Source organism: Homo sapiens, chromosome 13 (assembly GCF_000001405.40).
Source record: "Homo sapiens chromosome 13, GRCh38.p14 Primary Assembly".
Lineage (NCBI taxonomy): Eukaryota > Metazoa > Chordata > Mammalia > Primates > Hominidae > Homo > Homo sapiens.
The window spans coordinates 36,008,384-36,022,917 of NC_000013.11; the positions used below are offsets into that span (position 1 = coordinate 36,008,384).

General features: G+C 37.3%; 1 protein-coding gene across 6 annotated transcripts in view, besides 1 other annotated feature; it reads right to left on the minus strand.

Annotated features, from left to right (window-relative positions):
* DCLK1 (doublecortin like kinase 1) overlaps positions 1–14,534 on the minus strand; it is a 363,288-nt gene that overhangs the window by 239,732 nt on the left and 109,022 nt on the right. The gene's annotated exons all lie outside the window — the stretch shown is intronic.
* Positions 5,306–6,505: an enhancer, noted in NCBI's record as "MED14-independent group 3 enhancer chr13:36587826-36589025 (GRCh37/hg19 assembly coordinates)". NCBI's record gives its function as "activates an origin of replication core promoter dependent on BRD2, BRD4, P300/CBP and CDK7 cofactors, and independent of MED14, by STARR-seq in HCT116 cells {active_cell/tissue: HCT116}" and the evidence as "EXISTENCE:reporter gene assay evidence [ECO:0000049][PMID:35650434]".

Consider the following 14,534-nt stretch of genomic DNA (forward strand, 5'->3'; position numbering starts at 1 on the left):
CCACCACAGTCCCCAGAATGTGATATTCCCCTTCCTGTGTCCATGTGATCTCATTGTTCAATTCCCACCTATGAGTGAGAATATGCGGTGTTTGGTTTTTTGTTCTTGCGATAGTTTACTGAGAATGATGGTTTCCAATTTCATCCATGTCCCTACAAAGGACATGAACTCATCATTTTTTATGGCTGCGTAGTATTCCATGGTGTATATGTGCCACATTTTCTTAATCCAGTCTATCATTGTTGGACATTTGGGTTGGTTCCAAGTCTTTGCTATTGTGAATAATGCCGCAATAAACATACGTGTGCATGTGTCTTTATAGCAGCATGATTTCTAGTCATTTGGGTATATACCCAGTAATGGGATGGCTGGGTCAAATGGTATTTCTAGTTCTAGATCCCTGAGAAATCGCCACACTGACTTCCACAATGGTTGAACTAGTTTACAGTCTCACCAACAGTGTAAAAGTGTTCCTATTTCTCCACATCCTCTCCAGCACCTGTTGTTTCCTGACTTTTTAATGATTGCCATTCTAACTGGTGTGAGATGATATCTCATAGTGGTTTTGATTTGCATTTCTCTGATGGCCAGTGATGATGAGCATTTTTTCATGTGTTTTTTGGCTGCATAAATGTCTTCTTTTGAGAAGTGTCTGTTCATGTCCCTCGCCCACTTTTTGATGGGGTTGTTTGTTTTTTTCTTGTAAATTTGTTTGAGTTCATTGTAGATTCTGGATATTAGCCCTTTGTCAGATGAGTAGGTTGCGAAAATTTTCTCCCATGTTGTAGGTTGCCTGTTCACTCTGATGGTAGTTTCTTTTGCTGTGCAGAAGCTCTTTAGTTTAATTAGATCCCATTTGTCAATTTTGGCTTTGGTTGCCATTGCTTTTGGTGTTTTGGACATGAAGTCCTTGCCCACGCCTATGTCCTGAATGGTAATGCCTAGGTTTTCTTCTAGGGTTTTTATGGTTTTAGGTCTAACGTTTAAATCTTTAATCCATCTTGAATTGATTTTTGTACAAGGTGTAAGGAAGGGATCCAGTTTCAGCTTTCTACATATGGCTAGCCAGTTTTCCCAGCACCATTTATTAAATAGGGAATCCTTTCCCCATTGCTTGTTTTTCTCAGGTTTGTCAAAGATCAGATAGTTGTAGGTATGCGGCGTTATTTCTGAGGGCTCTGTTCTGTTCCATTGATCTATATCTCTGTTTTGGTACCAGTACCATGCTGTTTTGGTTACTGTAGCCTTGTAGTATAGTTTGAAGTCAGGTAGTGTGATGCCTCCAGCTGTGTTCTTTTGGCTTAGGATTGACTTGGCGATGCGGGCTCTTTTTTGGTTCCATATGAACTTTAAAGTAGTTTTTTCCAATTCTGTGAGGAAAGTCATTGGTAGCTTGATGGGGATGGCATTGAATCTGTAAATTATCTTGGGCAGTATGGCCATTTTCACGATATTGATTCTTCCTACCCATGAGCATGGAATGTTCTTCCATTTGTTTGTGTCCTCTTTTATTTCCTTGAGCAGTGGTTTGTAGTTCTCCTTGAAGAGGTCCTTCACATCCCTTGTAAGTTGGATTCCTAGGTATTTTATTCTCTTTGAAGCAATTGTGAATGGGAGTTCACTCATGATTTGGCTCTCTGTTTGTCTGTTGTTGGTGTATAGGAATGCTTGTGATTTTTGTACATTGATTTTGTATCCTGAGACTTTGCTGAAGTTGCTTATCAGCTTAAGGAGATTTTGGGCTGAGACAATGGGGTTTTCTAGATAAACAATCATGTCGTCTGCAAACAGGGACAATTTGACTTCCTCTTTTCCTAATTGAATACCCTTTATTTCCTTCTCCTGCCTGATTGCCCTGGCCAGAACTTCCAACACTATGTTGAATAGGAGCGGTGAGAGAGGTCATCCCTGTCTTGTGCCAGTTTTCAAAGGGAATGCTTCCAGTTTTTGCCCATTCAGTATGATATTGGCTGTGGGTTTGTCATAGATAGCTCTTATTATTTTGAAATACGTCCCATCAATACCTACTTTATTGAGAGTTTTTAGCATGAAGGGTTGTTGAATTTTGTCAAAGGCTTTTTCTGCATCTATTGAGATAATCATGTGGTTTTTGTCTTTGGCTCTGTTTATATGCTGGATTACATTTATTGATTTGCGTATATTGAACCAGCCTTGCATCCCAGGGATGAAGCCCACTTGATCATGGTGGATAAGCTTTTTGATGTGCTGCTGGATTCGGTTTGCCAGTATTTTATTGAGGATTTTTGCATCAATGTTCATCAAGGATATTGGTCTAAAATTCTCTTTTTTGGTTGTGTCTCTGCCCGGCTTTGGTATCAGAATGATGCTGGCCTCATAAAATGAGTTAGGGAGGATTCCCTCTTTTTCTATTGATTGGAATAGTTTCAGAAGGAATGGTACCAGTTCCTCCTTGTACCTCTGGTAGAATTCGGCTGTGAATCCATCTGGTCCTGGACTCTTTTTGGTTGGTAAACTATTGATTATTGCCACAATTTCAGCTCCTGTTATTGGTCTATTCAGAGATTCAACTTCTTCCTGGTTTAGTCTTGGGAGAGTGTATGTGTCGAGGAATGTATCCATTTCTTCTAGATTTTCTAGTTTATTTGCGTAGAGGTGTTTGTAGTATTCTCTGATGGTAGTTTGTATTTCTGTGGGATCGGTGGTGATATCCCCTTTATCATTTTTTATTGTGTCTATTTGATTCTTCTCTCTTTTTTTCTTTATTAATCTTGCTAGTGGTCTATCAATTTTGTTGATCCTTTCAAAAAACCAGCTCCTGGATTCATTGATTTTTTGAAGGGTTTTTTGTGTCTCTATTTCCTTCAGTTCTGCTCTGATTTTAGTTATTTCTTGCCTTCTGCTAGCTTTTGAATGTGTTTGCTCTTGCTTTTCTAGTTCTTTTAATTGTGATGTTAGGTTGTCAATTTTGGATCTTTCCTGCTTTCTCTTGTGGGCATTTAGTGCTATAAATTTCCCTCTACACACTGCTTTGAATGTGTCCCAGAGATTCTGGTATGTTGTGTCTTTGTTCTCGTTGGTTTCAAAGAACATCTTTATTTCTGCCTTCATTTCGTTATGTACCCAGTAGTCATTCAGGAGCAGGTTGTTCAGTTTCCATGTAGTTGAGCGGCTTTGAGTGAGATTCTTAATCCTGAGTTCTAGTTTGATTGCACTGTGGTCTGAGAGATAGTTTGTTATAATTTCTGTTCTTTTACATTTCCTGAGGAGAGCTTTACTTCCAACTATGTGGTCAGTTTTGGAATAGGTATGGTGTGGTGCTGAAAAAAATGTATATTCTGTTGATTTGGGGTGGAGAGTTCTGTAGATGTCTATTAGGTCCGCTTGGTGCAGAGCTGAGTTCAATTCCTGGGTATCCTTTTTGACTTTCTGTCTCGTTCATCTGTCTAATGTTGACAGTGGGGTGTTAAAGTCTCCCATTATTAATGTGTAGGAGTCTAAGTCTCTTTGTAGGTCACTCAGGTCTTGCTTTATGAATCTGGGTGCTCCTGTATTGGGTGCATATATATTTAGGATAGTTAGCTCCTCTTGTTGAATTGATCCCTTTACCATTATATAATGGCCTTCTTTGTCTCTTTTGATCTTTGTTGGTTTAAAGTCTGTTTTATCAGAGACTAGGATTGCAACCCCTGCCTTTTTTTGTTTTCCATTTGCTTGGTAGATCTTCCTCCATCCTTTTATTTTGAGCCTATGTGTGTCTCTGCACGTGAGATGGGTTTCCTGAATACAGCACACTGATGGGTCTTGACTCTTTATCCAATTTGCCAGTCTGTGTCTTTTAATTGGAGAATTTAGTCCATTTACATTTAAAGTTAATATTGTTATGTGTGAATTTGATCCTGTCATTATGATGTTAGCTGGTGATTTTGCTCGTTAGTTGATGCAGTTTCTTCCTAGTCTCGATGGTCTTTACATTTTGGCATGATTTTGCCACGGCTGTTACCGGTTGTTCCTTTCCATGTTTAGCGCTTCCTTCAGGAGCTCTTTTAGGGCAGGCCTGGTGGTGACAAAATCTCTCAGCATTTGCTTGTCTGTAAAGTATTTTATTTATCCTTCACTTATGAAGCTTAGTTTGGCTGGATATGAAATTCTGGGTTGAAAATTCTTTTCTTTAAGAATGTTGAATATTGGCCCCCACTCTCTTCTGGCTTGTAGGGTTTCTGCCGAGAGATCCGCTGTTAGTCTGATGGGTTTCCCTTTGAGGGTAACCCGACCTTTCTCTCTGGCTGCCCTTAACATTTTTTCCTTCATTTCAACTTTGGTGAATCTGACAATTATGTGTCTTGGAGTTGCTCTTCTCGAGGAGTATCTTTGTGGCGTTCTCTGTATTTCCTGAATCTGAACGTCGGCCTGCCTTGCTAGATTGGGGAAGTTCTCCTGGATAATATCCTGCACAGTGTTTTCCAACTTGGTTCCATTCTCCGCATCACTTTCAGGTACACCAATCAGACGTAGATTTGGTCTTTTCACATAGTCCCATATTTCTTGGAGGCTTTGCTCATTTCTTTTTATTCTTTTTTCTCTAAACTTCCCTTCTCACTTCATTTCATTCATTTCATCTTCCATTGCTGATACCCTTTCTTCCAGTTGATCGCATCGGCTCCTGAGGCTTCTGCATTCTTCACGTAGTTCTCGAGCCTTGGTTTTCAGCTCCATCAGCTCCTTTAAGCACTTCTCTGTATTGGTTATTCTAGTTATACATTCTTCTAAATTTTTTTCAAAGTTTTCAACTTCTTTGCCTTTGGTTTGAATGTCCTCCCGTAGCTCAGAGTAATTTGATCGTCTGAAGCCTTCCTCTCTCAGCTCATCAAAATCATTCTCCATCCAGCTTTGTTCCATTGCTGGTGAGGAACTGCGTTCCTTTGGAGGAGGAGAGGCGCTCTGCGTTTTAGAGTTTCCAGTTTTTCTGTTCTGTTTTTTCCCCATCTTTGTGGTTTTATCTACTTTTGGTCTTTGTTGATGGTGATGTACAGATGGGTTTTCGGTGTGGATGTCCTTTCTGTTTGTTAGTTTTCCTTCTAACAGACAGGACCCTCAGCTGCAGGTCTTTTGGAATACTCTGCTGTGTGAGGTGTCAGTGTGCCCCTGCTGGGGGGTGCCTCCCAGTTAGGCTGCTCGGGGGTCAGGGGTCAGGGACCCACTTGAGGAAGCAGTCTGCCCGTTCTCAGATCTCCAGCTGCGTGCTGGGAGAACCACTGCTCTCTTCAAAGCTGTCAGACAGGGACATTTAAGTCTGCAGAGGTTACTGCTGTCTTTTTGTTTGTCTGTGCCCTGCCCCCAGAGGTGGAGCCTACAGAGGCAGGCAGGCTTCCTTGAGCTGTGGTGGGCTCCACCCAGTTCGAGCTTCCTGGCTGCTTTGTTTACCTAAGCAAGCCTGGGCAATGGCGGGCGCCCCTCCCCCAGCCTCTCTGCCGCCTTGCAGTTTGATCTCAGACTGCTGTGCTAGCAATCAGCGAGATTCCGTGGGCTTAGGACCCTCCGAGCCAGGTGTGGGATATAATCTCGTGGTGCGCTGTTTTTTAAGCCGGTCTGAAAAGCACAATATTCGCCAGGTGCGTCCGTCACCCCTTTCTTTGACTCGGAAAGGGAACTCCCTGACCCCTTGTGCTTCCCAGGTGAGGCAATGCCTCGCCCTGCTTCGGCTCGCGCACGGTGCGCGCACCCACTGGCCTGCGCCCACTGTCTGGCACTCCCTTAGTGAGATGAACCCGGTACCTCAGATGGAAATGCAGAAATCACCCGTCTTCTGCGTCGCTCACGCTGGGAGCTGTAGACCGGAGCTGTTCCTATTCGGCCATCTTGGCTCCTCTACCCCTCTCTAAAATTTTATAGAGAGCTGAAGATCATATAAACAAAATGCATGTTTGAAAACGTGAACAGGCTTAATTCTTGCCATTGGAAATGCTGGCTTCTCTTCAATTCAGATGAAGCTTACTTTGCATTCTTCTTCAGAATTATATTTCAGAGAGCAACTTTTTTGTTGCCTTTAAAATTTTAAATTACAGCCGATAAAAACTGTTTTTTTTTACAGCCTTATTTTCTCATACCTAAAATGCTTACAACCTATGACTGTCACCTAACAACCTGTGAATGACTAACTAATCTAATACAGATGAAAGCCCAATCCTGATGAACTGTTTCCAGAAAAGTTTCTCATGGGAGAAATGTTATCAAACCATTTGCAATCTCTTGGAGTTGCTGGGAAAAATAACAACAGCAACAGGTAAGTCAGGTAAACTGATCACAATTCTCTATCTTTTTCTAGTCTGTAAAAAAATTAGTCTTACAATAAGAACAAACATGATTGAGAAAAATAATCAAATTATTCAGTATATTAGTGTGTTTAAGTGGTGTATATTTAAAAAGAAAATAGATGTTTAAACTTAAGCTATAGACTCATCAGAATTTCAAGTAAATCATATGTTTTTGACCTTGCCCTTTCCATTAACCACAGAAGAATGTTCCGTGCATAATTCAGTGGTGGCTTCTTCTCATCCTTCAGATCCTGGCTTAAACATCCTTTTCCCCTACCATGTTCTAATGTGCCATTATTAATTCTCTCTCCCTCTCTCTCTCTCTCTTTCTCTCTCTCTCTCTCTCTCTCTCTCCCTATCCGCCCCCCCACACAATTTTTGATGTGATTGCATCTGCTCCGTGGGAGCAGTGATTATGTCTCTTTCATTCACCAATATATTTCCAGCCCTTGGCATATAGCAGATATTCAATACATTAATGAGGATTAGTTACACCAACATCCTCCAAATTTCTTCAGGAAATATGAAGTGCCATCTCTCATCTGCAATGAGTTTGAACCTGTGTTTTCTGAAGCTTTCCTGTTTAGCTTGAGGGTTAGTGACTCCCCATGTGGGATCCTTCCTTATTGACAAGCCTCAGTGATGAAGAAGGAAGGGGGAATCACCCAAAGCTGTTTTGCAGTAAAACCTGGGTAAACTAGCTCTTTAGGAATGGAAACCCTCAAATGAGCCAGCTTTTTAATTTTTTCCAATGGGGGAGTTCTGGTGTCTGGCATAGAGCTTTGGAAACAGAAGGCATTTAATATTTATTATATTAAACTACCAATCTTACCATAAGTTATTGGACTAGATGGAACTTAAGTTTTCTTTCAGCCAGAGCTTCTATGATGCTGTGATGTCAACATGCCTAACAATGAGCCTGTCACAACCTATTTTCAATCTTGCCCCTCTCCTAAAGCAGCCCTTACCCTGTAAAAGGCATCAACATCCAGCCATTAGCCCATACTACCAATCTAGGGCTTACCTGGAATCCATTTCTTTCTTTCACCACCCACACCTGCCAACCAGTGATCATTCCCAAAGGACTTTATTTTGCATCTGTGCTTTTTAATCCAATTGCCTTCTCCATCTCTCTCACTGACTAGTTCAGGCCCTCATTGTATTTATTCAGACTAGAGATGAAAAACATCAATTTGTTAGAAGACTGTCCTCATGACCATATTTATTCTGTCACACTTCTGCAAATCCAAGCATAAACAGGTTTAGAAATTAGAACCAGTTAACCAGCAAATCACTCAGTGGCTAGGACATCGAATACTTTCATATATTTATTTGGGTAATAACTACTGAGCAACCAGAAGGCTAGTGCATGGACAATTTACTTCATTTAGATGGTCTTGCCAAGAAATACTGATATAAACAACCAGATCAATTATGCAGTAAAATTCACATTTCGTGTTCAAATGGCTAGAATCACTAGTCTGGGGGAACTGCTGCTTTATACATGTAACCCCAGGCACAGACTAATGGAAAGCAACACAAACTGCTACATGCTTACTCTACAGAATAGGTTTGCAAATTTAACCTACAGTACATTAAAATGCAGCATATCTCATATTTGTATTAGCCATATTTTAATACAAACTTTCTGTATTTCCTTTCTGCCATTATCCTTCCCAGTCATATGAGTGAACTATTAATGATCAACTAGTCAAGGGGTCACCATTAAAAGGAGCCCTAAATAGCACAATGATTCCATTCCCTCCCCCATCAAGAAGCCATCCCAACCCAGCAATTAAACCAAGCAAATCAGGCTAACGGAGCATACACATAATGGTAGAAGAGAAAAGCACAGCCAATAATTACCAAACAGTCACTTTCTTTTATCTGGATTTCCTCTTCCCTATCATTCATCTCACGAGAGAAGCATACAATAAGGACATGACCCCATGAGTTTTTATCATGGATCCTGCAACAACCTGAACACATTTTCTTTATCCTCGAACAATAGAAACATAATGCAAGCCACATATGTGATTTTAAATGTTCTAGTAGCCACATTAATAAACTAAAAAGAAATAAATGAAATTAATTTTGATAATGTATTTAATCTAATAATCTAAAATGTTATTTTAACATGCAATCAGTATAAAAATTATTGAAATATTTTATATTATTTTATGGCATGAAGTCTTTGACACGGTGTGCGTACTTCACATTTACAACACACCTCAAGTCAGACTACTCTCATTTTAAGTTACACATGGCTAGTGGCACGAAATCAGACAGAACAACTCCAAACAAAAACATCCAACCAAATGAGAAAGGTTGCTCGATTTGCCTTGCAGAAAAATATCAGCAACTGCATAATACCTTAAGAAGGTGAATACTAAGCAGTTTGATAAAATAACACATGAATCCCTGTGAAAGCAAAGATGTATTTTTTTGAAAGGTAATAACATTTTTAGAAATAATAAAAAAGGAAGGAGACAAGGATCATAGCAACTTTTAATACAGAATTGGAGTTACTGATCGTATCTCCAAACTGCGGGATCTGTTCGTGGAATAATTATTTTCACAGCCTCTCAGAAGGAAGTGATCATATCCTTAAATAACTGAAAAACAAAACTCCAAGGCTAGACACAGAAGAACAGAATGTCAAGAGCAAAATGTCATTTAGACTGATGAAGATAGAATGTAACACAACTGGGAAAGTCCATAACCTTTGGAATTAAATAAAATCCAGTGCAGGGGATAGTTTGATACCCAACATTCTGGGAAACCAGAATTCTCTTTTAACCAACACATCTATAAAAACGTATGACTCGATAGCTAATGTTGTAGTGAGTACTCTGGGGTATGGTATGATCCAAACATGACTTCAGAATCAATGAAAAACTAAATGGTGTTCAATATCATTTTACAGCAGATATTTAATTGCATTCTCAATCTCTGAAACTAGTCATTAATATGGTGTGTGTAGGGTAATGCTTCACCAACCACCACATGGAATTATCAGAGCCCCCTCTTTACCTATCATTGCCAGATCTCAAAATTTACTGTTTATCTAGTTTTCTGTTTGCCATACAAAAAGCAGCCGCATTTTATTTCTTACATCCCACAACTGCAACTCTCATCACACACTTACACACACATGCATGCACAGACTGCAAACTCTTTGCCATAAGAAAGGACTTCCAACACTGACCTCTGCCCAGCACCATCCTCCCGACTCATTAGAGCCATCTGTGGCGAGAAGATTCAGTTTCCCAAGCACATGAGGTCAGTTCTAGATGATGGCAATTTTTAACTCTATTTGCACTGCTAATAACATCACTCAGTTCTTCTACGGCCTTTATTTCCACTATGGCCAGGAAAGATTAACACACTTGCCTACCACTGAAAATGTTTTAAATTCTGTTATTCAACAGGAGAATCTCTTTTATTTGACCAAGGAACTTAATGTGTTAGAGTGGTTCCTCTGCTGTTGATTTCTCTACACTACACATTATGATTGTAAAATTGTAACCAATTGTCATGTGTACCCTATAGACTCAGTTTGTACACATCCCTATACACAAATCCAATTTTGTACATAACCTTTCTATTGATTCATTTTCTTTTTTCAATTAAATATAAACAAAAATCTTTTCTCTTAAGGGAGCAAATTTGATTTATGGCATAAAATTCATAAGTTAATTTTCTTGTGCAGTTTATAACTTGAAGTTAATAATTATTTTAAGCATTCCTAAAAATCAGTTTAAAATGTTTTTCTATGCATGTTTCAAAATCATTAATCATCTTTTAGTCATCCTCAAACTGAGTCTGACAAATGTAGCATAATTATTTTTTACATGGTTGCTCAATTGAACAAATTACATGAATCAAAATGTATGCTTCTTTTATACACAACCAGTGCCTATTAATTTTGATTTCAAATGTGTTAATTTACTGTGAACATTTTATAAGGCTACCTATAAAGATTTTCTCATGGATAATTATTTATGGAAGAATATAATTTTTAAATAAAAAATTAGCTATCCAAAAGTATAAAATGTTGGGCAAAATTTTAAAAGTGTATCCCTTTCTCATTCAAATGTTTCTTTCATCCATATTTACTTTGCTGTGATATAAATTATACACATTATAAGTGAACTTGCACAGACAATCTTCTGCAATTTAGTTTAGAACTTGGAATATTGTTGATAGCACTCTCTCTATGGCCCTTGATTGAATGCATTTTCTTTCACTAAAAATGCAGATAGCGCACATATCCAAATGAATATGTTACAAAATATTATAGACCCAATTGCTTGTTTCAGGATCTCAAATTTATCTTGAGGTATGTGTGGTAACTTTGCATCTAATTGGCATGCAAATTTATTCTTATTTTGCTTTTTCTAAGTATGCTACCAAAATGAGATGCATTTTTTCCATGATTAATGTCAAAGGCACTCTCTGAATTAATTTATTTCTGTCATTTTCTCCAACATTTTAATTAAGCTGTTCCTTAACCTTCTCATATTTGTTCTTTTAGTTATTATAGAAACTGATAAGATGGTTCCTGTGATTAAAAACAAACTATCCCGTATTCCCAAGATCCAAGCCTATGTAGAAAACAGAACTCAGTTTTCAAATAACTTGGCCACTGTTTCCTTAAGCTTTGGACCTTTCTACTGAACCTTTCTCCTTCTAGCCCCAAATGCCAGACCTGAAAAAGTGTAACTGATAGATTAACAGATAATTATTTATCCAGAGTCTTATCAAAAGTATTGTCAGCCTGTTTCTTCACTTACTACACAGCACAGTATATATACATCACTAATGTATGCATCAATGTGTTTAAGCTTACATAATAATGACCTCACTTCTTTGTTCACATCACCTCTTCTTCATATCCCTGAAGCTTCATGTACCTGAGAACACTTATCACGATTCTAAACATCATCACATTAACTATGTTTCATGTATAGATTAGAGGTGTACTATGCTAGAGATTTTCTTTTTCTGCTTATTTCTTCATATGCTTCTTATTCAATCCCTCCTAACTCTTGGCAATACAAAAATTGCAACTACAAAAGGAGCTAATGTAAGCAGTACTGAGTTTTAAAAGACAGCGAAAGGCACATTGTAATCTTCAGCATCCGATACATGGCTCATAGTATTACTCAATGCTATGGTTTATATATGGTTTGTTTAGCCTTGCAAAGTCTCAGGTTGAAATTCGATCTCCAATATTGAAGGTGGGGCCTAATGGAAAGTGTTTGGGTCATGGGGGTGGATTTTTCATGAATGGCTTTGTGCCATCCTCCCAGTAATGAGTGAGTTCTCGTTTTATTAGTTTCCATGATAAATGATTGTTAAATACCTCCCTCATCTTTCTCTGTTGCTCCCTCTCTTGCCATGTGATACATGGCTGTCCTCTGCCTTTTGCCACGATTGGACACAGTGTGAGGCCCTCCCTAGATGCAGATGCTGGTGCCATGCTTCTTGTACAGCCTGCACAACTGTGAACCAAATAAACTTCTTTTCTCTATAAGTTACCCACCCTCAAGTATTCTTTTGTAGTAATACAAATGGATTAAGATGATAAATGGTTATTGAATAGCTTTCATAAAGGATGAACACAATCCTTAGGTCATTGAGTTAAAAAAATATATGATAAAGAAGCACTTCTGGAATGGCTCCTCCATAGAAATAAAAACAATGGCAAAAAGTTATCAAAATAAACTTTTCTTAGAAGTCTGGAAATGAACCAAAGGCTTGCACCAATTTGAGGAGCATTTATTAAACAGCTGACTCTAAGGAAGAAGAGTCAGCTTTGTGGCATTTTTCTTCCCCTATTCCCATTTGTTTGTCTCCAGGTCAACTGGGATTATCCAGTCTGAAGAACGAAAAAAGAAAAAACAATGAAGAAAAATGAACAGTCCCTCAGTGACCTGCAAGATATCAGCAAGCATACAACTTAATAAGAGTCTAAAAAAGATTAAAATCTGACTTCTTGTTGGAAACGGTGGTGACCAGAAGGCAGCAGAATGACATATTTAAGGTGCTGAAAGAAAAAAAAAACTATCAACTAAATATTCTATATCCAGCTAAACTATCCTTCAAAAACAAAAACAAAGAAAAACCCCAAACAGAGAAAATCTGTCACTAGCAGTCATGCCTTACAGGAAACACTAGAGACTCTTTCAGGCTGAAATGAAAGGACACAAGACATTAACTTAATTCCACATAAAGAACTAAGGAGCACTGGCAAAGGTAACCAAGTACATAGGCAAATATATAAGTATGTAAATGTGAAATACAGTAAAAATATATTTTGGTTTGTAACACTTTTCTTCTATCTGATTCAAAGTGCAACTGCATAAAGCTACAATTATAACACCGCCTTCATGTATAAAGGTATAATTTGTGTGACAATAATAGCACAAAAGAGGAGGAAGGAGAAAGAGCTATATTGGAGCAAAGTCTTGGTATATAACTGAAATTACATTGGCATTATACCAAACTAGATTGTCTTATGATGATAATTGTATTCCTCGGGATAGCCACTATAAAAATAATAAAAAAAAAAAGTAAAAGAAACAATAAGAGGTTTAAAATTATGTACTAGAAAACACTTATTTAATTGAAAAAAAAAGTAGTAATGGAGTAAGATAACCAGAAAAGCCTTAAAATGTATAAAAACAAATAGCAAAATGGCAGAAAGAAATTCTAGTTTATCAGTAATTACATTAATTAATGGGCTAAGCACTCCAATTGCAAGCAGAATTGGCAGACTATTTCTTTAAAGTCATGATCCAAATACATGCTATCTACAAAATACATATTTTAGATTCAAAGATACAAGTAGTTTGGAAGTAAAAGAATGAGAAGACATAATATGCCAAAAGTAACCAAAAGAGAGCTGGAGTGGCTATGCTAACATCAGACAAAATAAATTTTAAGGCAAAAATTGTTCCTAGAGACAAAGAAGGACATTTTTTAACGACAAAGGGTCAATCCATCAAGAAGATACGGTAATTAAGAAATATATAGGCACCTAACACTAGAACCCAAAACTACCTGAAGGAAAAACTGACAGAATTGAAGGGACCTGTACACAATTCAACAATAATAGTTAGAGACCTCAATACTGTACTTTCAAATAATAGATAAAACAACTAGGCAGAAGATCAAAAAGAAAATGGAAGATTGGAACAACACTATAAAACAATAGAATGAATAGAACTATATAGTACAGCCCACCCAACAAAAGCAGAATACACATTCTTCTCAACAGAGACATAGAATATTCTCCAGGATAAACCATGTATTAAGCCATAAAATGATAGACCATGTATTAAGCCATAAAATAAACTTTGATAAATATAAAAGGGTGGAAATCATACAAAGTATGTTCTCTGATCACATTGGAATGAAATTAGAAATTAATAAAGGAAATTTGAGAAATTTATGAATATATGGAAATTAAACAATACACTCCTAAATAGCCAATGGATTAAAGAATAAACCACAATGGAAATTACAAAATAGTTCAAGATGAACGAAAATGAAAACACAACACAAGCTGATAAGATGCAGTTAATACTTAGGGACAAAATCATAGCTGTAAAACCTTTACTTAAAAAAAAGAAAGATCTCAAATCAATAATCTAACTTTCCACTTAAGGAAATTGGAAAACAAGCCAACTAAACCTAAAGTGAGTAGGAGGAAAGCAATAATAAAAATCAGAGTAGACATAAATAAAATACAGAATGTTTTTAATTGAGAAAAATCAATGAAAGCAAATTCATTCTTTAAAAACATCAACAAAATTAACAAACCTTTAGCTAGAAAAAAAAACTTATTGAGAAAAAAAGAGAGAAATCTCAAAATACTAAGATGAAGAGTAAAAGAGGGGTCATCACTTTTGACCTTGCAGAAATATAAAGGATTAAAAGGGAAAACTAACAGTAGTTGTAAATCAATAAGTTAGATAATCTGGACGAAATGCCCGAATTCCTAAAATATACAAACTACCAAAGAAGTAAAAAATCTAATTAGACCCTGTAATAAGTAAAGAGAATAAGTTAGTAATCAAAAAACATTCCACAAGGAAATCTCTGGACCATATGACTTCACTAATAAATTATATCAAACATGTAAAGAAAATGAACAACAATTCTTTATAAACTCTTCCAAAAAAGAGGAAATAAAACTTTCCAATTCATTCTTTGAGGCTAGTATTATCCTGG